We start from the raw sequence: 23,601 nt of genomic DNA, 5'->3' as shown, positions 1-23,601 counted from the left end.
AGTGCACAGAAGGAAGAGATTATAGGTAAGCCTCTATATTCTATTTTTAATTTCTTTATTATTTATTTATTTATTTTTTGAGACGGAGTCTCGCTCTGTCACCCAGGCTGGAGTACAGTGGCGCGATCTCGGCTCACTGCAACCTCTACCTCCCAGGTTCAAGCGATTCTCCTGCCTCAGCCTCCCGAGTAGCTGGGATTACAGGCACACACCACCACGCCTGGCTAATTTTTGTATTTTTAGTAGAGACGGGGTTTCACCATGTTGGCCAGGCTGGTCTGGAACTCCTGACCTCAGGTGATCCGCCCACCTTGGCCTCCCAACATGCTGGAATTACAGGCGTGAGCCACTGTGCCTAGCCTAAGCCTCTATATTCTAATCCACTTGTTGTAGGGCCCTGATATGGGCACCCAAATGTAGCTTTAAAATATAAGGAGAATGACAGACAATAGTATATATGAAATATTCTTATCAAAAGATAAGATCTACTCTAATTAAACCTGTAGGGAAAAAAGGGACAAAGGAGCATGTTAAACAATATCATGAGAATAGAATGAGCAAACTCTAGAATGTGGGAAACTTAGGAAGACACCCAGTTTCTTCAACAAAAAAATTGCAAAAATAAAAAGGAACAAGGAGAACCTATAGATTAAATGAGGCATTAAAGACATATCAACCAAATGTAACCTGGGGACCATTTAAAATACCTGAATCAAACAAATGGTTATAAAAATACTTTGAGACAATCAGGGAAACATAAAATAGACATATATTAAGGCAGTATTGTTAATGTTTTTAGATATAATTATATTAACAAGCTTTTTAAAAGAATTATTGAGACAATATTAGCGAAAATGGAAGAGTAACGGCCCCCCAAATTCAGTCCTCCGTAAAATTTTTTTGAAGCCAAAACTAGTCAGAATCAACATTTTCAGAACTCTGGAAATTAACCAAAGGCTTGCAGCAACCTGGGGAATGTATTTTAAAGAAAAACACCTGAATCTCTGTAAGAAAAGTGAGCTTCACGTCATTTTAATTTGTCCTAGTTCCATCTCCCACTCTCTAGCTCTGCAGTAGCCTTAAAAAATTACAGTCCACATTTATGAAGAAAACCAGCAGCCTGACACGTGAGGGAGCAGAAAGAGGTGGGAGCTTATTCAAAGCCTCATTCCTAAACAACTGTCATTGTTATATATGTCTGGTGGTTCCCTGGAAAATACCACTTGCTCAGAGATAACACAGTGCAAAAAGCCTTCTCCAGGGGGAGTATTTGCCAAAAACAAATACAGGCAAGTGATTTAGCTTTGCAGCTGCCTAAGGCTGTGAATAACAGTTAAGGTACACAATAGACTAATAAAAAATCTTAAACAGAAAAATTGGGGAAGAATATATCTATAAGCACTTTGAAAACCTCCTACATTTTTCAGAAGATCTAGAAGGGCATAAGCATGCATAGGACTGTAAACATGCTCTGGAAAGACTCAAGAAGGCCCCACACTGTCATGTTTGGCTGACCTTGAGCCTTTGCACAATCAGGAAGTGAACACTAAGGCAGAGTTGTTAATGGCCTGGGTGATTGTTGAAAGTACACCCCAACATGCACACGGAGTTCTTTGACAAAGACTAGGAGATTTGCTGGTTCTGGGCATTTAAGAAGCTCTGTCCAATCATGAACTAATCTCTAAAATAGCTGAGTAGAGAATTCAGTGGTCACATATGACAAAGAATACAGACTAGTTCAGAGAAGTCACTAAAACAACCACCCACCCACATTAGTAAAAACAAGTCAAAACAACAATAAACCTTGGTAAAGAGAGAGCATCTGATTTCCAAAGTTGCCACATCAGATTATTCAAAAGTCTAGTTTTCAACAAAAAATGATGAGTGATACAAATAAATAAGAAAGTATGGCTGGGCACCGTGGCTCATGCCTGTAATCTCAGCACTTTGGGAGGCAAAGGCGGGCAGATCACTTGAGGCCAGGAGTTTGAGATCAGCCAGCTCAACATGGTGAAACCCCATCTCTACTAAAAATATAAAAGTTAGTCAGGTGTGGTGGTGCATGCCTGTGGTCCCAGCTACTTGGGAGGATGAGGTGGAAGGATCGTTTAAACCCAGGAGATTGATGCTGTTGTGAGCCGAGATTGCACCACTGCACTCCAGCCTGGATGACAGAGTAAGACTCTGTCTCAAAAATTAATAATAAAATAAAATACAGTACAAACGTATTTTTTGTTTATAACACTTTTTCTCTCCTTATTTAAAAGGCAACTGCATAAAACGAGATTTATAAATCTGTGTTAAAAGGCACCCAATGTATATACATATAATTTGTGGTAACAACAGCACAAAGGAGGGTTAGGATGGAGCTACTAAAGAACAAAATCTTCATATACTATTGAAATCAAGTTACTGTTCGTCCAAATTAGATTGTTATAAGTTAAAAATGCTAATTGTAATACTCAGGGCAATCACTAAAAATAATTTTTAAAAACACAGTAAGTGAAATAACAAGGGAATTAGGATGTACACTAGAAAATATCTATGTTCTATATGAGTTTTGTTTTTGTTTTGCTTTTGTTTGTTTGTTTGTTTGTTTTGAGACGGAGTCTCGCTCTGTCACCCAGGCTGGAGTGCAGTGGCACGATCTTGGCTCACTGCAACCTCAGCCTCCCAGGTCCTGGTTCAAGCAATTCTCGTGCCTCAGCCTCCAGAGCAGGTGGGATTACAGGCACCCACCACCGTGCCCAGCTAATTTTTGTATTTTTAGTAGAGACGGAGTCTCACCATGTTGGCCAGGCTGGTTTTGAACTCCTGACCTCAGGTGATCCACCCGCCTCGGCCTCCCAAAATGCTGGGATAACAGGCGTGAGCCACCGCAGCTGGCACTATATGAGATTTTTAAAGCATTATCCAACTATATGCTGTCTATAACAAAAAAACTTTAGATCCGAAGATACAAATAGGTAGAAAGAGAATAAAATATGTATGTATATATATATATATATATATTTTTTTGAGACTCTGTTGCCCAGGCTGGAGTGCGGTGGTACGATCTTGGCTTACTGCAACCTCTGCCTCCCAGGTTCAAGTGATTCTCTGGCCTCAGCCTCCCGAGTAGCTGGGATTACAGGCACACACCATCATGCCTGGCTAATTTTTGTAATTTTAGTAGAGACGGGGTTTCACCATGTTGGCCAGGCTGGTCTTGAACTCCTGACCTCAAGTGATCTGCCCACCTCAGCCTCCCAAAGTGCCTGGATTACAGGCGTGAGCCACAGCCCCTGGCCAAAACAAAGATTTTTTTATGCAAACTAACCAAAAGAGAGTTGGAGTGGCTATACTAATATCAGAGAAAACGAACTTTATGATAAAAGTTGTTACTAGAGACAAAAAAAGGAGTGTGTGTATGGGTGAATCTATCAAGAAGATGTAACATTTACAAATATATATGCATCTAACAATAGAGCTCCAAAATACAGGAAAAAATCCTGACAAAATGGAAGAGAGGATTATATGATTCAATCACAAGAGTTGGATACCTCAATACCCCACTTCAAATAATGTTGGACTTGAACAACAAAATAAACCAGACAGAAATAACAAATATTTATAGAATACTCTATCCAACAGCAAAATACAAATTCTTCTCAAGTGCACATAAAACGTTCTTCAGAATAGACAATATATTGTGACATAAAACAAGCTGCAATAAATTTTAAAGGATTGAAGTCATACAAAGTATGTTTTTGGACAAGAATGGAATGAAATTAGATATAAAAGAAGAAAATTTGGGAAAGTAACAAATACGTGGAAATTAAACAACACACTCCTAAATAATCAATGAATCAAATAAAAATTACAACAAATAAGAAAATGTTATGAGTTACATCAAAACCAAAACATAACATAATAAAACTTTTGCAATGCATAATTTGTATAGCTACAAAATCCTATATTAAAAAAGAAATATCTTAAATCAATAATATAAACTTATACCCTAAGATACTAGAACAAGAAAAGCAAATTAAACCCAAAGCAAGAAGAGAAAGCAAATATAGAGATTAAAACAGAAATAAATGGAATAGAGAATGAAAAATGATGGAGAAAAATCAATAAAACCAAAGGCTGTTTCTTTGAAAACATCAACAACATTGATAAACATTTAGCTAGACTAAACAAGAAGGACAAAAAACACAAATAACTAAATTCAGGAATAAAAGAGGGTACATTACTACCAACCTTACAGAAATAAAAATGATTACTTAGGAATATATGAACAATTATATGTCAATAAATTAGATAACATACCTAAAATGGAAAAATTCTGACTGATATCAGCAAGACAGCCAACTAGAGTCAACCTGGCACTCATTCCCCTCACAAAAGGAACCAAAACAACAAATGGACAACTATATTTCAACAGGAGTGACTGAGAAAGTACACTGGAAAGCAACAGGGGAGAGCAAAATCCCTGTGGAGCATGGAAGCACAGAACAGCACCACAGAGAGGGAAACAAGGCGCTCTGCCTCTGCTACACACTGTCTCCTCCACCAGAATTACATCAAATACAGGGAGACGACTTCTTACAGGGAAAAAGTAAACTAGAGGCTCCCACCTGTCCCCATTGCCACCACAGATGCCAGCAGTCCTTGCTATACATCTGACAAGGGATTAATATCTAGAATACTAAGAAACTTAACTCAAGAGCAAAAAAAAATCAAACAACCCAATTAAAAAATAGGCAAAAGACCTTAACAGGCATTTTTCAAAAGAAGACATGCAAATGGCCAACTTATGTATGAAAAAATGCTCAACATCACTAATCATCAAGGAAATGCAAATGAAAACCCCAACAAAATACCACTTCGCTCCAGTTAGAATAGCTATTATCAAAAGACAAAACAAAATGGTTGTTGGCAAGAATGTAGAGAAAGGAAAACACTTATATACTGTTGGTGGGATTGTAAATCAGTACAGCCATTATAGAAAATAGTATAGAGGTTCCTCAAAATATTAAAAATAGAACTTCCATATGATCCAGAAGTCCCACTACCAGGTGTTATTCAAAAGAGATAAAAACAATATGTTGCAGAGATCTCTGCACTCCCATGTTTATTTATATTAGCTAAGATATGGAGTTAATCTAATGTCCAACAATGGATAAAAAATGTGGTGTATATATACAATGTGTGAATATAAATATATACACACACACAAATGTGGTGTATGTATATATATAATACACACACACAATGGAATACTATCCAGCTATAAAAAAGAATGAAATCCTGTCATGTACAACATGGATGAGCCTTGAGAACATCATGTTAAGTGAAATAAGCCAGACACAGAAAGACAAATAACACCTGATCTCCCTCATATGTGGAATCCATTTTTTAAAAGACTGATGTCAAACGGTCGCTTCTATCCTGGGCCGGCCGGGCGGGGGTGGTGGTTGCGGCGGCAGCTCGGGCTCCCAGCGCGCTGGGCCTCTGCACCGCCCCCGCCTCCTCCCGCCCGGGCAGCGGCCTCCCCGGGCGCCCAGTGGTGGTGGAGTCGGGGGAGAGGGAAATTCAACCGGCCGCCTTGTGCCAGAGATAAAAGCGGGCTGCCGGCCCCATTGTCTGACGGAGCTCCCTCCCTGCTTTTTGTTATCGCCTCGCCGCCCCGCCCCTCCGCAGCTCTGGAGGCTCCCTCCCCGGCCAGGCCCGGGCCCCGCGCCCGCCATGGAGAAGACGGAGCTGATCCAGAAGGCCAAGTTGGCCGAGCGCTACGACGACATGGCCACCTGCATGAAGGCCGGGACCAAGCAGGGCGCCGAGCTGTCCAAGGAGGAGCGCAACCTGCTTTCCGTGGCCTACAAGAACGTGGTCGGGGCCGCAGGTCCGCCTGGGGCGTCATCTGGAGCATCGAGCAGAATACCTACACCTCCGACAAGAAGTTGCAGCTGATTAAGGACTATCATACAGTTGCTTTGAGACAACCTAACGCTTTGGACATCAGACAGTGCAGGAGAAGAATGTGATGTTGCAGAAGGGGCTGAAATCTAAATCCATACAGTGTGTCATCCTTTTTTACTTCAAGAAGCCTTTTTACACATCTCCATTCCTTATTCCACTTGGATTTCCTATAGCAAAGAAACCCATTCATGTCTATGGAATCAACTGTTCATAGGCTTTTCACACGCAACTTTGGGAAAACTTCATCCCTTGATCTGTTTGTCTTGGCCTTCCTGGTGTGCAGTTACTGCTGTAGAAAAGTATTAATAGCTTCATTTTATATAAACATAAGTAATTTCCAAACACTTACACAGGACTAAAAATGTATCTGGTATTTAAGTAATCTGAACCAGTCCTGCAAGTGACTGTATTACTGTGAAGATATGAAAATGTTAATTACAGTTTGAAGAGTGTTCTACATAACTTAATTTCTACATTCCCTCCCTTACTCTTTGGGGGTTTCCTTCCAATAAGCAACTTTTCCATGCTCTTAATGTATTCCTTTTTAGTAGGAATCCAGAAATATTAGATTGAATGGAAAAGCACTTGCCATCTCTGTCTGGGAGTCACAAATTGAAATGCCTCCTGTGTCACATAAGGAGGTCATGTATATCTGTGGCAACAAGGAGTTTCCTTATTCACTCTTTATTTGTTGCTGTTTAAGTTGACAACCTCCCTTCCCAATAAAAATTCACTTACACCTCCCAAAAAAACAACTGATACCATAGAAGCATAAAGTAGAATGATGGTTACCAGAGATTGAGAAGGGGAGGGAAGAGAAGGGAAGATAAGGAGAGATTGGTCAATGGATATAAAGTTACAATTAGTAGGAATACTTTCCGGTGTTCTATTGTATAGTAGGGTGACAATGGTTAACAATAAGGTATTGCATATTACAAAATAGCTAGAAGAGAGGCTTTTGAATGTTCTCGCCACAGAGAAATGATTGTATGAGGTGATGGATATGCTAAACACCCTGATTTGATCAGTATTAGTATATATATAGAAACATCAAATTGTACCCTGTAAATATGTACAGTTATAAACTGTCAATTAAAACTACAAAATCACCAAATTATAATAAAATAAAATAAAATGAAAAAATATCAGCCAGGTGCTGTAATCCCAGCACTTTGGGAGGCTAAGGCAGGCGGATCATGAGGTCAGGAGTTCGAGACTAGCCTGGCCAACATAGTGAAACACCGCCCCTCCTCCCCCCGTCTCTACTAACAATACAAAAATTAACTGGGCATGGTGGCGCGCATCTGTAGTCCCAGCTACTTGGGAGACTGTTGGGAGAAAAACTGCGTGTTGGAAGAGAAGCTGAGGCAGGGCTTGCATGTCTGCTAGACTTGCTGGCTCCTTGCTTCTAGCACTCCCATTATCTCAAGTAGCCATGTGCTTCTCCTTCACTTGATACACTGTTTCCTTTCAACCCCCACATCCTCACCACCTGTTTCTTTGTTTGAGCACCAATAAATCGTGTGGGCTCCCAGAGCTTGGGGCGTTTGCAGCCTCCACACTCGCGATGGCCCTCTGGTCCCACTTTCTCTCTCAAACTTTTTCTCATTTCTTTGACTCCACCAGACTTTGTCGCCCCCATGACCTGGTGTTGGGTCTGATCACCCCAACATTCCTGGCTGCCCAACGTGGGGCAACAAAGACCCCAGTGAAGGAATGCTAGAGCATGTGAAAGCAGAGGACGCATCGTCAGAGGACACCCGAGGATGTCTAAAAGATGTCCTAAAAGAAGCTCAGTGGAAAAGCTGAGCACTCGGAAGAACCAGGGTAACAATGAGACAAAGTGAAAGCAGACATTCTGTTTATTTAAATTTCTTAAGTGATTTATTACAAAGAGGGGGAGTGAAAGTTAGTACTCAGAATTTGTTATCACTCTTTAGTATAGTAAAGCAGTTTTGCCCATGGTTTCCTGAACAAGGGACTATGGAGTTGGATGAATGGGAGAGAATTGGAAGAGATTTTAAAAAGGCATATAAAGAGGGAGCAGAAATTCCAGTTTCCGTTTGGTCAGTGTGGGTGCTAATAAAGGCAGCTCTTGAGCCATTTCAAACAGATGATGAGGCAGATTCAGATGAGGAAGAGGAGGTCGAGTGTAAAAATCTAACTTCAGATTCTGAGTGTGAGGAACAGCTACTGGAGGAGATTAAAGAAAAGAAAGGAAAACTAAATAGTATGTTTTACTAGCCTGTCAGCTCCACCTGCTGAATTAAGTGAATGGCCACCTCCTCTCTCTCCCCTTAATGGGCAAGAAAATAAATTAGCTGAAAAACTTATTGCTCCTGTAGTTGCACCATTGAAACCTGGAGCAATTGGCAGTGCTATACAAAATTCTATTCAAAAAGCTAGAGCTAAGGGAGACCTTGAAGCATGGCAATTTCCCATTACTATAATCCAGCAGGGAGGAAAGAATATAGCTAATTGGGCCACTTTTCCTTTTAAGTTACTAAAGGAATTTAAACAAGCCATTAGTCAATATGGACCGAACTCTTCTTTTGTGCAAACTTTATTTAAAAATATGGCTCTTGATAATAGATTAATACCATATGATTCAGATACTTTGACAAAATCTGTTCTCATTCCATCTCAGTACTTGCAGTTGAAAACCTGGTGGGCTGATGAAGCTCAAACTCAGGCAAGGGAAAACACACAAGCACAGCCACCTGTGCCTGTTTCCTTTGAACAGTTAATGGGAGTTGGCCCTAATTGGGGTCGATTACAGAATCAAGCAGTAATAGATGATGTTGCCATTGTTCAGCTGTGCTTTGTGTGCTTATGGGCATGGGAAAGGATACATGTTACAGAGGAAAAATATCCTTCTTTCAGTTCTGTCTGACAAGAACCTAAAGAACCATATACTGGTTTTATTGCTTGGCTCCAAGAGGCTATGTATAAAGCCATAACTGATAAAACGGCTCAGGATGTTGTAATACAGCTTCTTGCATACGATAATGCTAATGCAGAGTGTCAAACTGCTATTAGACCCGAGAGGGAAGGCTCATTTAGCTGAATATATTAAGGCTTGCGATGGCATTGCAGATAACTTACATAAGGCTACTCTTTTAGCTCAGGCTATGGCTGGATTAAGAATAGGAAAGAATATGCCCTGTTTCTCAGGCTCTTGCTTTAATTGTCGGCAATTTTGACACACAAGAGAGGAATGTAGAAAAGGAAATCAAAGGGCAAAAATTAGTACCATCAATCAACAGAAAAGTCCCGGTGTATGTCCCCGGTGTAAGAAAGGCAATCACTGGGAAAGTCAGTGTCATTCTAAATTTAGTCAAGATGGACATCCTCTTTCAGGAAACAGTAAGAGAAGCCCACCTCGAGCCCCTCAACAAACCGAGGCATAACTGGCACAGCCAGTGCCATTACAAATGTACAAGAATTGTCCCCCGCCTCAGCAGGCAGTGCTGCTGTAGACCTCTACAGCACAATTCCCCTCTCCTTACTTCCTGGGGAGCCACCAAAGAAGGTCCCCCACGGGAGTTAGGGGACCCTTACCCTCAGGAACAGTTGGTCTATTACTTGGAAGGTCTAGTCTAAATTTAAAAGGTGTTACTGTACATACGGGAATAATTGACTCTGATTATACCGGAGAAATTCAATTAGTTATTAGTTCCTCGACTCCACAGTCTGCCTCCCCAGGAGAAAGAATTGCTGTTGTTGCTGTTACCTTACATAAAACTAGGAAGCAGCACAGTGAAAAGAACAGGAGGCTTTGGTAGTACTAATCCAGCAGGAAGGCTGTGTATTGGGTTAATCAAGTGTCTGGCAAAAGACCTATTTGCACAGTAACTATTCAGGGAAAAGATTTTGAAGGACTAGTAGATACTGGAGCTGATGTCTCTATTATTGCTATAAATCAATGACCCCGGCACTGGCCTAAGCAAAAGGCATCCATTGTTATTGTTGGAGTAGGAGCTGCGTCAGAAGTTTTTCAAAGTTCTTTGATTTTACCATGTCAAGGGCCGGATGGTTAGGAAGGGATAATCCAACCTATCATTACACCTATTCCTGTTAATTTATGGGGTAGAGACTTATTGCAACAATGGGATGCTGAAATATCTATTCCTACGGATCAATATAGTAATAATAGTAGACAAATGATGAAAAATATGGGATATTGCCTGGGAAAAGGACTAGAAAAAGATAAAATTGGCCAATCAGAAACTTTAGAATTAAAAGGAAAAACAGATTGGACCGGATTGGGTGTCATTTTTAGGAGCGGCCATTGTTGAGCCTCTGGCTCCCATTCCTCTTGTTTGGCTAACTGCCAAACCGGTTTGGGTGCAGCAATGGCCACTGAAACAGGAAAAACTGGAGGCTTTAAAAGAACTGGTGCAGGAACCATTGCAAAAGGGACATATAGAGCCTACTTTCTCCCCTTGGAATTCTCCTGTATTTGTCATTAAGAAAAAATCAGGGAAATGGAGAATGTTAACAGATTTAAGGGCTGTTAATGCTCTGAGTCAACCCATGGGTGCACTACAACCAGGGCTGCCCTCCCCAACAATGATCCCAAAATACTGGCCTCTCATAGTGATAGATCTAAAGGATTGCTTTTTTACCATTCCTTTAGCTGCCCAAGATTATGAAAAATTTGCTTTTATTGTTCCTGCCATAAATAATAAAGAACCAGCGGACAAATACCATTGGAAAGTACTGCCACAAGGCATGCTAAATAGCCCAACTGTTTGTTAAACTTATGTCAGGAAAGCTATTAAGCCAGTTAGAGAACAGTTTAAAAAATGTTATATCATCCATTACATGGATGATATTCTGTGTGCAGCTGAAACTAGGGAAGAATTGATGTTGTGCTACAAGCAGTTAGGAAAGTCTGTAAATGCGGCAGGGTTAGTTATAGCCCCTGATAAAATCCAAACTTCTACTCCCTTTCAATATCTAGGAATGAAGGTAGAGCAAAGTGCTATTAAGCCTCAAAAGGTTCAAATTCGAAGAGATAATTTAGAAACCTTAAATGATTTCCAAAAATTATTAGGAGACATTAATTGGATTCATCCAACTTTAGGCATTCCTACCTATGCTATGTCTCACCTCTTTTCTGCTTTATGAGGTGATTCTAACCTTAAAAGTAAACGCTCCCTGTCCAAAGAAGCATTGGAGGAACTTCAATTAATTGAGGAAAAAATTCAGCAAGCACAAGTAGAACGGATTAATCCAATACAGCCATTACAGTTTTTAGTTTTTCCTACTAAGCATTCGCCTACAGGAGTTATAGTTCAACAGGATGATCTGGTTGAGTGGCTTTTTCTACCTCACAATACAACCAAAACACTCACTCTGTACTTAGATCAAATTGCTGTGCTAGTAGGACAAGCGCAGCTGCGCTCAACAAAGTTAATGGCATATGATCCAAATAAGATTATAGTTCCATTAACAAAACAACAAATTCAACAAGCCTATATTAATTCCCAAGAATGGCAAGTTAATTTGGCCGGTTTTGTTGGCATTCTTGATAATCATTATCCTGAGTCTAAAACCTTCCAGTTTCTAAAATTAACATCCTGGATGTTGCCTTCTATTACTCAAAAAGCCCCTATTGAAGGGACCATTACTGTTTTTACTGATGGATCTAGTAATGGAAAAGCCTCATTTGCAGGACCTCAACAGCAAGTTTTTCAAACTGACTTTGCTTCTTCTCAAAGGGCTGAACTTATGGCTGTGATAACAGTGTTAAAAACTTTTAAACAGCCAGTAAACAGTGTTTCTGATTCAGCCTATGTAGTGCAAGCCATGCAAAATATTCAATGTGCCTTAGTTCAAAATATGACTGATGAACAACTTAATCTTTTATTTCATTCTTTACAGCAAGCAGTACAACAAAGGCATTCACCTTTCTATATCACTCATATGAGAGCACATACTAACCTCCCTGGCCCTTTAACTAAACTTAATCAAAGGGCGGTTGCATTGGTGTCTGCAGCCTTTGCTGATGCACAAACATTTCATTCTTTAACCCACCTTAATGCCACAGGCCTTAGAAAAACATACGGTCTATCATGGAAACAAGCTAAAGAAATTGTGCAACATTGTTCTGCCTGCCAAGTCCTGCATCTGCCACATCAAGGAAAAGGAGTTAACCCTAGAGGTTTATCTCCAAATTCCATCTGGCAGATGGATGTAACACATATTCCTGCTTTTGGAAAATTGTCCTTTGTTCATGTTTCATTAGATACCTATTCACATTTTATTTGGGCCACATGTCAAACAGGGGATGCCACAGCTCATGTTAAAAGACATCTTTTATCTTGCTTTTCAGTTATGGGAATCCCAGAAAAATCAAAACTGATAACGGCCCAGGAGACTGTAGTAAAGCCATGGCTACATTTTTTCAACAATGGAATATTACCCATACTACGGGTGTTCCATATAACTCACAAAGACAAGCAATAGTGGAAAGAGCTAATTGTACTTTAAAAACTCAAATACAAAAGCAAAAGGGAGGAGACTAGGAATATAAGACACAACATATGCAATTGCATTTAGCTTTATTAACATTAAATTTTTTAAATTTACAGAAAGATTAACCCATGACTGCAGCTGAACAACACCTGACAGGACAAAAGGAAAATTAAAAGGCTGGACAAGATATATGGTGGAGGGATGCACATACAAAGAGCTGGGAAAAAGGAAAGATAATTTTATGGGGAAGAGGATTTGCTTGTGTTTCTCCAGGTGACAATCAGGTGCCTGTGTGGGTGCCCACCAAACATCTGAAGATCTATCATGAGCCACAGCATCTAGTGGACCCACCTGTACAGTGCACATTGAAGGTTTAAGGATTGTTTTTAAGCCTCAATTTGCTTTCTCTGTGCCTTCTGTTAGAAGGGGCCTGCTTCTTGTTATCAACGGTAAGTTTTACCCCGTGGTAATTAACCAAAGAGGTGGAAGCTGAGTTACAAATGCTTCAGCAATGGCATGCCTCCCGGCTACAGCCTCAAAAGTTTTTGCTTCTGTTTCCATAGATTTACTAATGTGGGGGTGAGGGTATGCTTGTGTTTTTGCAGGAGATGAACAAACTGTGTAGGTGCCCTCAAGATGTGTATGACCATGGAACATGAGACTGGAAGGACCCATGGATCCCAACCATGGACTGGGTTCCCCCAGTACGAGCCATGCTGAGAAACTGCTGGAGCGCCAGGGTTTTACCTATAGATGCTTTACGGACCAATGCTTTCTGACTGAACTCCTCTCTACCCTGAATACAATAGACCCTAATAGGTAGGCAGGAGTATCATTGCCCCTATTCAGCATGAAGAAGTTACAGAAGATGGACCTTCATCCTTCTGCAGCCCCTAGGATTAAGGGTCCTCTTGTAAAAGGGAAAGGGGAGATATGTATGAAGCATTCAAACCAGAGCAACCCCATTTTGAATAAGGGCTAAAAAAAATTGAAGCTGGATCACCAACTGGCAATTAAGGGCTGCACAGCCTGCAATTATCTTGCTCAATTAATTTTTTTTAAAAAAGGTCACCTTATGCTAATAATAATGATAGCTCTGGCGGTTTTTACAAAAAAGAGAAGGGGAGCATGTTGGGAGAAAGCTGAGTGTTGGGAGAGAAGCTGAGGCAGGGCTTGCATGTCTGCTAGACTTGCTGGCTCCTTGCTTCTAGAATTCCCATTATCTCAAGCAGCCCTATGCTTCTCATTCACTTGATACACTGTTTCCTTTCAACCCCCACATCCTCACCACCTGTTTCTTTGTTTGAGCACCAGTAAATAGTGTGGGCTCCCAGAGCTCAGGGCCTTCGCAGCCTCCACACTTGCAATGGCCTCCTGGTCCCACTTTGTCTCTCAAACTGTCTTTTTCTCATTTCTTTGACTCCGCCGGACTTTGTTGCCCCCATGACCTGGTGTTGGATCTAATCACCCCAACAGGAGACTGAGGCAAGAGAATCGCTTGAACCTGCGAGGCAGAGGTTGCAGTGAGCCGAGATCGCACCACTGCACTCCAGCCTAGGTGACAGAGCGAGACACCGTCTCAAAAAAAAAAAAGAAAAAATCCTAGAAAGACACAAACTACCAAAACTGACTCAAGAAAAAGGAGAAAATGTGAATAAATATATAACAACTAAAGAGATTGAATTAGTTATTTTAAAAAACCTTCCCACAATTAAAAGTCTAGAACCAGATGGCTTCACTGATGAATTCTACAAAATATTTAAAGAAGAACTGATGCCAGCCTTCACATACTCTTCCAAAAACAGAAGAGAATGGAGCACTTCCTAACTAATTCTATGAGGCCAACATTACCTCAATACTAAAACCAGACAAAATAATCACAAGCAAAGAAAACTACAGATTAATATCACTTATGAATATAGACATAGTAAATTCTCAACAAAAAACTAGCAAACCAAATCCAGCCACATATAAACGGTACTACATGCCATGACCAAGTGGCATTTATCCCAGTAATGTAATGTTGAGTCAACATACAATAATCAATTAATGTAACACATCATATTAATAAAGGATAAAACCAAATCATCACATGTCAATAGACACAGAAAAACCATTTCACAAAATTCAATATCCTTTCACAACAAAAGCACTCAGCAAACAAAGAATAAAAGGAAACTGGGGCCGGGTGCCATGGCTCACACCCATAATCCCAGCACTTTGGGAGGCTGAGGTGGGCGGATCGTTTGAGGTCAGGAGTTCGAGACCAGCCTGGTAAACATGGTGAAACCTCATTTCTACTAAAAACACAAAAATAAGGTGGGCGTGGTGGCCCACGCTTATAATCTCAGCTACTTGGGAGGCTGAGGTGGGAGGATCACTTGAACCTGGGAGGCGGAGGTTGCAGTTAGCCGAGACTGCATCACTGCACAAAGTGAGACTCCATCTCAAAAAAAAAAAAAAAAAAAAAAAAAGGAACTGGGCCGGGAGCAGCACCCCTAGCACTTTGGGAGGCCAAGGCAGGAGGATTACTTGAGTTCAAGACCAGCCTGGGAAATATAATGAGACCCCCATCTCAACAAAAAATTTTAAAAATTAGCCAGGCCTAGTGGCACATGCCTGTAGTCCCAGCTACCTGGGAAGCTGAGGTGGGAGGATCACTTGAGCCCGTGAGGTCAAGGCTGCAGTGAGCCATGATCATGACACTGCAGTCCAGCCTGGGCAACAAAGTGATACCCTGTATCAAAAATAAACAAATAAATAGAAGAAAATTTCTTAAACCTATAAACAGCATCTACCAAAACCTAACAGCTGATATCATACTTACTATTAAAAGACTGAAAGCTTTCTCCCTGAGTTCAGGAACAATAAAGGGATGTTCACTCTCCTCATTTCCATTCACCATTGTACTGGAGGTTCCAGCCAGGATAATTAGTCAGGAAAATGAAATAAAAGACATTCAGATTAAAAAGGAAGAAGTAAAAATATTTCTATTCACAGATGACATGATCTTGTATACAGATAATTCTAATAAATCCACTCAAAAACTATTAAGGCCATTAAATGAGCTAGCAAGGTTGTAAGGATCAAGATCAAATTACTAAAATTAGTTGTATTTCTATATGCTTTAATGACAAATGCAAAAATAAAAATATTTCATCTGTAATAGCATCGAAAATAATAAAATACTGAGGAATAAATTCAATAAAATAAGTATAAGACTTGTACACTAGAAACTACAAAACGTTGTTGTTTTCTAAATAAATGGAAAAACATCTGGTGTTCATGTATTAGAAAACTTAAAATTGTTTTAAGTCAGTACTTTCCAAAGTGATCTACAGTTTCGATGTAATTCCTATCAAAATTCCAACTGCCTTTCTTTGCAGAAATTGACAAGCTAATCCTAAACTTCATATGGAAATGTAAGGGACCCAGAAAAGCCAAAGGCAATATTGAAGAAGAATAAAGTTTGAAAGTCTCATTCTTCCCTATTTCAAAATTTATCACAAAGGTACAATAACAAAGACACTGTGGTACTGATCTAAGAAGAGACATATAGATCACTGCAGTAGAATTCAAAGTCCAGAAAAAAAAAAAATAGCTCCGTACTTCTATAGTCAATTGATTTTTGACAAAGATCCTAAGAAAATTCAATAGAAGGTAAGAATAGCCTTTTCAACAAATGGTGTTGCAACAAATTGATATCACCATGAAAAACAAATAAATTTAGACCACCTCATACCATATTAAAAATTAGCTTGATCCCATCTCTACAAAAAAATAAAAATTAGCCATGTGTGGTGGCATGCCCCCATAGTCCAAGCTACTTGGGGGGATGCAGTGGGAGGATTGCTTAAGCCCAAGAGAGCAAGGCTGCAGTGAGCCATGATCACATCACTGCACTCCAGTTTGGGCAGCAGAGCAAGACCCTCTCTCTAAAACAAAAAACAAAACCATTAACTTAACATGGATAAAATACCTAAATATAAGAGATAAAACTAGAAAACTCTCAGAAGAAAACAATGATGTAAATCTTCATGACCCTGGACTAGGCAACAGTTTCTGAGACATTACACCTAAAGTACAAACAATCAACAAAAAAATTAATTGGACTTCATCAAAATCTAAATAGTTTGTGCATTAAAGGGCACTATGAATAAAGTATACAGATAACCTGCTATTTGCAAATCATATATCTGAGAAGTGTCTTATATTCAGAATATATAAAGATGTCTTCGAACTCGACAACCAAAAGACAAATAACCCAATTTAAAAATGGGCAAAGGCTGGCTGTGGTTGCTCATGCCTGTAATCCTAGCACTTTGGGAGGCAGAGGTGGGAGGATCACTTGAGCCCAGGAGTTCAAGAACAGCCTAGGCAACATAGTGAGACCTTATCTCTACAAAAAATAAAAAAATTAGCCAGGTGCTGTGGTGCACACCTGTGGTCCCAGCTACTCAGGAAGTTGAGACAGAAGGATCACTTTAGCCCAGAAGGTTGAGGTTACAGTGAGCCACGATCATGCCACTGCACTCCAGCCTGGGTGGTGGAGCAAGACCCTGTCTCAAAAAAAAGGTCAAAAAACATAATTAGACATTTTTCCAGAAAAGATACACAATGGCCAACAAGACATGAAAAGTATGTTCAACACCACCAGTCATTAGGTAAATGCAAATGAAGCTATAAGATATTACTTCCTACCCACTGGCATGAACATAATAAAAAATAATAGTTGGCAAGGATGTGGAGAAAATAGAAGCCTCATACATTACTGACAGGAATGTAAAATGGTACAGCCACACTGAAAAAGTTTGGTGGTTCCTCAATAATTTAAACATAGAATTACCATAAGGTCTAGTAAACCCACTCCAAACCCACAAGAATTGAAAAACAGGCATTCAGGCCGGGTGCAGTGGCTCACGCCTGTAATCCCCGCACTTTGGGAGGCCGAGGCGGGCAGATCACCAGGTCAGGAGATCGAGACCATCCTGGCTAACACAGTGAAATCCCGTCTCTACTAAAAAATACAAAAAATTATCTGGGCATGTGGCAGGCGCCTGTAGTCCCAGCTACTTGGGAGGCTGAGGCAGGAGAATGGCGTGAACCTGGGAGGTGGAGCTTGCAGTGAGCCGAGATGGTGCCACTGCACTCCAGCCTGGGCGACAGAGCGAGACTCCGTCTCAAAAAAAAAAAAAAGAAAGAAAGAAAAACAGGCGTTCAAATAAACATTTGTATAAATGAATGTTCACAGCAGCACTATTCACATCAGTCAAAAATGGAAACAATCCAAATGTCCATCATTGATGAAGGAATAACAAAATGTGCTATATTAATACAAAAGAATATTATTCAGCCATAAAAAGGAATGAAGTTCTGATACAAGTTTTAACATGGATGAATCTTGAAAACATCATGCTAAGTGAAATAAGCCAGACACAAAAGGCCACATATTGTATGATTCCATTTATATGAAACGTCCGGCACAGGTGAATTCATAGAGACCAGAACGCATATTGGTGGTTGCCTGAGGCTGGGAAAAGGGAAGGAATGAGGAGAAAATACTTAATGGGTACAGGGTTTCCTTTCTGGGTGATGAAAAAGTTCTGAAACTAATATTGGTGGTAGTTGCACAACATTATGAATATACTTAATGCCACTGAATTGGACTTTAACATGGTTCAAATGGTAAATATTATGCAATGAGTATTTTACTAGAATAAGAAAAAGTAGTAAAATGCAAATCAGTTATCTTATCAAAACTCGCCTTTAAAAAATGCTTAAAGAAATCTAATAATTCTAAAACATAAATTATGAAATGTTTAAGAAATCAAAGTTAAATCTATTGGTGATAGAATAAAACAAAATGCTAAGAAGAAAAAATGTAATGCTCACCGATGGCAAAGAAATTCTGAAATTTAGGGTAAGAAGAGCTACTGTAGTTATTAACCAATGTGAGTACTCTTATGTAAAGTGGCTTATAGGGTGAAAGTTCTTTAAGCAGCATAGATCCGGCCGGGTGTGGTGGCTCACGCCTGTAATCCCAGCACTTTGGGAGGCCGAGGCGGGTGGATCACCTGAGGTCAGGAGTTCGGGACCAGCCCGGCCAACATGGTGAAACCCCATTTCTAATAAAAATACAAAAATTAGCTGGGCATGGTGGCAGACACCTGTAATCCCAGCTACTCAGGAGGCTGAGGCAAGAGAATCACTTGAACCCAGGAGATGGAGGTTGCAGTGAGCCGAGATCATGCCATTGCACTCCAGCCTGGGCAACAAGAGCAAAACTCTCTGTCTCAAAAAAAAAAAAAAAAAAAAAAAAAAAGAAGAAGAAAAGAAGAAGAAGCATAGATCCTAAGGAAGGGGCTTCAAGATAGCTGACTAGAGGCATCTGGTACTCACCTTCACAAAGAACCAAAGTAGCAAGTAGATAATCGTATTTCAAACGGATCATTTAACAGAGAACACTGGAATTAGAGAAGTGACAGGAAACACCTAAAGCAAGGAAGGAGAGGGATGCGAAGCAGCCTGCTACCTGGGATCAGCTGGGAACCTGGAGAGGCTCCAGGGAAGCCCCTATCCAGGGGAAAGGATATGTGAGTGACCCCCAGTGATCCACATTTCCATTGCAGACTCCTTCTTCCTAGCCACAGGAAAGCCCCTAGACTCTTTCAGGCCCTGAGAATAAGCTGCCTGAAAAATGCATGAAGACACGGCTCCAGAGAGGGGGCTCACACTGGGTCCCATACATACTCCAAGCCCTAAGCAGCTACAGCAAGGCAGCGTATTGGTTGCTAAGACTCACCAGACTGCATCCTGCCTGGGGGCCCAATAGCCCCTGCATCTCCACATCTTTGGAGCCCCATTGACATTTCACACCCACAGCCACCATCGCAGCTCACTGTGCCACGAGGGCTAAAGTGCAAGGGAAGGCATCGGCAAGGATCCTGCTGCCCCCAGCAGTGAAGCTGCAGCACACCTTCACATGGCCTGAGGACAAACTCCCTTACCAACAGTAGCTACCACATCAGTCTGCCTCCACCAGGCCCAAAGTGTGAGCACCCACCTGCATATGACTGCTACCAACTGAAAGCAACCCTGTCCTCTATAGTAGCAGGGCTGTTGCACAGTTGCTGCTGTCCCCACTCAATCATTCTGCCTTGAGCTTGAGGAGCGCCCTGCCTCTACCTAACACAGTCAATGCCTAAATGCACCACCTGGGGAACTGAGGACAGGTCCACCCAGCCTGGCTCAATGCTCGCTGTGACCTACCATGCCTTCCAAGGGCCTAGAGGCTGCCCAGCAAAGCCCACCACTGGTGACAAATGGGCATTCATCTTGAAGGCCTGAGGTTGGGCCCACCCAACCTGCCACTGCAGGTACCCACCTGCAGCTGGTACTCACCTGCACATGCCACTTGCAGGCCTCAGGACTATCTTGCATAACCCATTACAGCCATCATAAATACCAGTGTGGATAGCTTGGGAGCAAAAGGCTTGTTCCACCACTGCAACTATCATTGACCACACCATACCTGCATCCAGGGGCCCAAAAACCTGCCCACCTTCCCAGCTTGCCACTGCCACTACTGGCACCCAAGCAAGCCACCTAGGAGCCCAAAAGACAGCCCCACTGGATCTAAAATAACACTGGTGTCAACATACACCACGCTGAGACTCAAGGACAGGTACATTCAGCCCGCCACTGGAATCAAGGGACCAAGGACAGGCCCATGTGGTGCTCCTGTCCCCAGGAAAACTTCACCACAGCCTCCACCAATAATAGCATCCTAAGCCACTGAGGAAATCACAAACATCACCATATACAAAATCAACTCAGCACGGTAAAGACTGAAACATAAGACCTGAAACTATAAAACATTGGTCTATGCAAAGAACTTATGGCTAAGACCTCGAAAGCACAGAAACAAAAACAGACAAATGGGACTATATACATAAAAAACTTTTGCGCAGCAAAGGAAACAACCAACAGAGTAGAGGCATCGTTGAACTGAAGAAAATATGTGCAAATGATTCATCCTACAAGGAACTAATATCCCAAATATACAAGGAACTCAAACAACTTAACAAGATAAAACAAACAAACCCATTAAAAAGTGAGCAAAGGACATGAATAGACAGTTCTCAAAAGAATACACACAATTTCCCAATAGGTATATGAATAAAAATGCTGAAGATCACTAATCATCAGGGAATGCAAATCAAAACTATAATAAGATATCATCTCACCCCAGTTAGAATGGCTATTAAAAAGAAAAAAATAGCATGCTGGCAAGGATGTGAAAGGGGAATGCTTATACACTCTTGGTGGGATTGTAAATTAGTATAGCCACCACGGAGAACAGTAGGGGAGGTTCAAAAAACTAAAAATAGAACTACCATATGTTCCAGGAATCCCACTACTCTGTATTTATCCAAAGGAAAACAGATCAGTATATCAAAGGGACACCTGTGAGCTTACTGCAGCACTATTCACAATAGAAAGATATGGAATAAACCTAAGTGCCTATCAATGGACTAATGAATTAAAAATGCACATACATACACACATACAATGAAATACTATCATCTATAAAAGAATAAAATCCTGTCATTTGAAGCAACGTGGATGGAACTGGAGGTCATTATGTTAAGTGAAATAAGCCAGGCACACAAAGACAAATATCACATATTCTCACTCATATGTGGGAGCTAATAAAGTTGACCTTATGGAGGTAGAGAATAGAATGATAGATACCAGAGGCTGGGAAGGGTGTGGGTTTGGTGGGGGTTGGCGGAGGATAAAGAGTGATTAGTTAATGAGTACATTCAGTTAGATAGAAGGAATAAGTTCTAATGCTTGACAGCACAGGAGGGTAACTATAGTTAACAATGTATTGTATATTTTGATAGCTAGAATAGAAATGTTTCCAACACAGAAATAATAAATACTCGAGGTGTTAGACATCCCAAGTACCCTGACTTGATCATTATACAGTCTATACATGTAATAATGTATCCCATGCACCCCATAAGTATGTACAAATATTATGCATCAATTAAAAATAGAAGTATAGATACTAGAAAGGCTCAATTACTGTCCAACCTCTAGGAGCTAAGTTATAGGCCAAGAATCCTTCAGCTCTTTCCTTCAGCTCAATTCATTTCCAAACACAAGGGGAATAGTATTTGAAGTTAGGACAAGAAACTACAATTTTATTCTAACTCCCCATTCAGCACAACATGCTCATTTTCTTTCTTATTTTCTTCCCATCCATGGAAGTGGTAGGATCATTTTCTTTACTTTAGCTTTCCCTGCAACTGTAGAGGCTAAGTTGCGAGGCAAAATTCTTACTTCCTTATAATGGGGTAAATATCCAACAGGGGTAGGTGGTAGATCTATATAAACTAAAAAGCTGTTGCACAGCAAAGGAAACAATCAACAGAGTAAAGCAATAACATGGGATTCTAAACATTGCTAAGATTTTTTCACACAGAGTATCGTAAAAATGGGGTTAAGTTATTGAAATAGCATAATTGTTATAATCCTCACCTTAAATTAAATAGATTAATACATTTAAAAAAATATTTCGACTTGGTTTTTTTTGTTGTTGTTGTTGAGATGGAGTTTTGCCCGTTGCCCAGGCTGGAGTGCAATGGCACGATCTTGGTTCACCGCAACCTCCACCTCCTGGGTTCAAGTGATTCTCCTGCCTCAGCCTCCCGAGTAGCTGGGATTACAGACATGTGCCACCATGCCCGGCTAACTTTGTATTTTTAGTAGAGACGGGGTTTCTCCTTGTTGGTCAGGCTGGTCTCAAACTCCTGACCTCAGGTGATCCACCCGCCTCGGCCTCCCAAAGTGCTGGGATTACAGGTGTGAGCCACCGGGCCTGGCCTAAAATTTCAACTTTTATTTTACATTCGGGTGGTACATGTGCATGTTTGTTACCTGGGTATATTGTGTGATGCTGAGGTTTGGGGTATGATTGACCCCATCACCCAGGTACTGAGCATAGTACCCAATAGTTTTTCAACTCTTGCTCCCCTCCCTCCCCCCTCTAGTAGTCCCCAGTGTCTATTGTCACCATCTTTATGTCCACGAGTACCCAATGTTTAGCTCCCACTTATAAGGGCGAACACGTGGTATTTGGTTTTCTGTTCCTGCATTAATTTGCTAAGAATAATGGTCTCCAGCTGTATCTATGTTGCTGCAAAGGAAATAAGATTGTCTTTTATGGCTATGTAGTATTCTATGGCATGTATGTGTCATATTTTCTTTATCCAATCCACCACTGATGGGCACCTAGGTTGATTCCATGTTTTGCCATTGTGAATAGTGCTGCAATGAACACACGAGTGCATGTGTTTTTTTGGTAGAATAATTTATTTTCTTTTGGATATTTACCCAGTCATGGGATTGCTAGGTCAAATGGTATCTCATGGGAGATACAGATATGGATATAGATATAGATAGATATAGATACACCCAGTCATGGGATTGCTAGGTCAAATGGTTTTAAGTTCCTTGAGAAATCTCTAAACTAATTTCCACACTGGGTGAACTAATTTATATTCCCACCAACAGTGTATAAGCATTCCCTTTTCTCCGCAGTCTCACTAACATCTATTGTTTTTCGACTTTTTTATAATAGTCATTCTGACTGGTGTGACATGGTATCTCATTGTGGTTTTGATCTGCACTTCTCTGATGACTAGTGATGTTGAGCATTTTTTCATACGTTTTCTGGCCACTTGCATGTCTTCTTTTGAGAAGCATCTGTTCATGTTTTTTGCCCATTTTTAATGGGGTTGTTTTTTGCTTGTTAAGTTCCTTTTAGATTCTGGATATTAGACGTTTGTCTGATAGAATTTGGCTGTGAATCTATCTGGTCCAGGTTTTTTTTTGATTGGTAGGTTTTTTATAAGATTCAATTTTTGAACTTGATATTGGTCTCTTCAGGGTTTTAATTTCTTTCTGGATTCAATCTTGGGAGGTTGTGTTTTCAGTAATTTATCCATTTCCTCTAGCTTTTCTTGTTCGTGTGCATAGAGGTGTTCATAATGGTCTCTGAGGATCTTTTGTATTTCTATGGATTCGTTGTAATGTAATCTTTGTCATTTCTGATTGTGCTTAAATAGATTAATACATTTTTCT

At 40.6% G+C, this 23,601-nt stretch overlaps 1 protein-coding gene and 1 pseudogene across 1 annotated transcript in view; one reads left to right on the top strand and one right to left on the bottom strand.

Annotated features, from left to right (window-relative positions):
* Positions 5,703 to 6,708, top strand: YWHAQP8 (YWHAQ pseudogene 8; annotated as a pseudogene).
* Positions 15,309 to 23,601, bottom strand: part of CENPI (centromere protein I) — an 83,656-nt gene continuing 75,363 nt past the window's right edge. The window contains exon 21 of the mRNA XM_017029383.2: positions 15,309 to 15,356. Within this exon, the coding sequence (XP_016884872.1) occupies positions 15,336 to 15,356 (21 nt within the window). The 3' untranslated portion in view covers positions 15,309 to 15,335. The remainder of the gene's footprint in view (positions 15,357 to 23,601) is intronic.

This window comes from Homo sapiens, chromosome X, assembly GCF_000001405.40.
Source record: "Homo sapiens chromosome X, GRCh38.p14 Primary Assembly".
NCBI lineage: Eukaryota > Metazoa > Chordata > Mammalia > Primates > Hominidae > Homo > Homo sapiens.
This window is presented reverse-complemented; position numbering and strand designations above follow the sequence as displayed.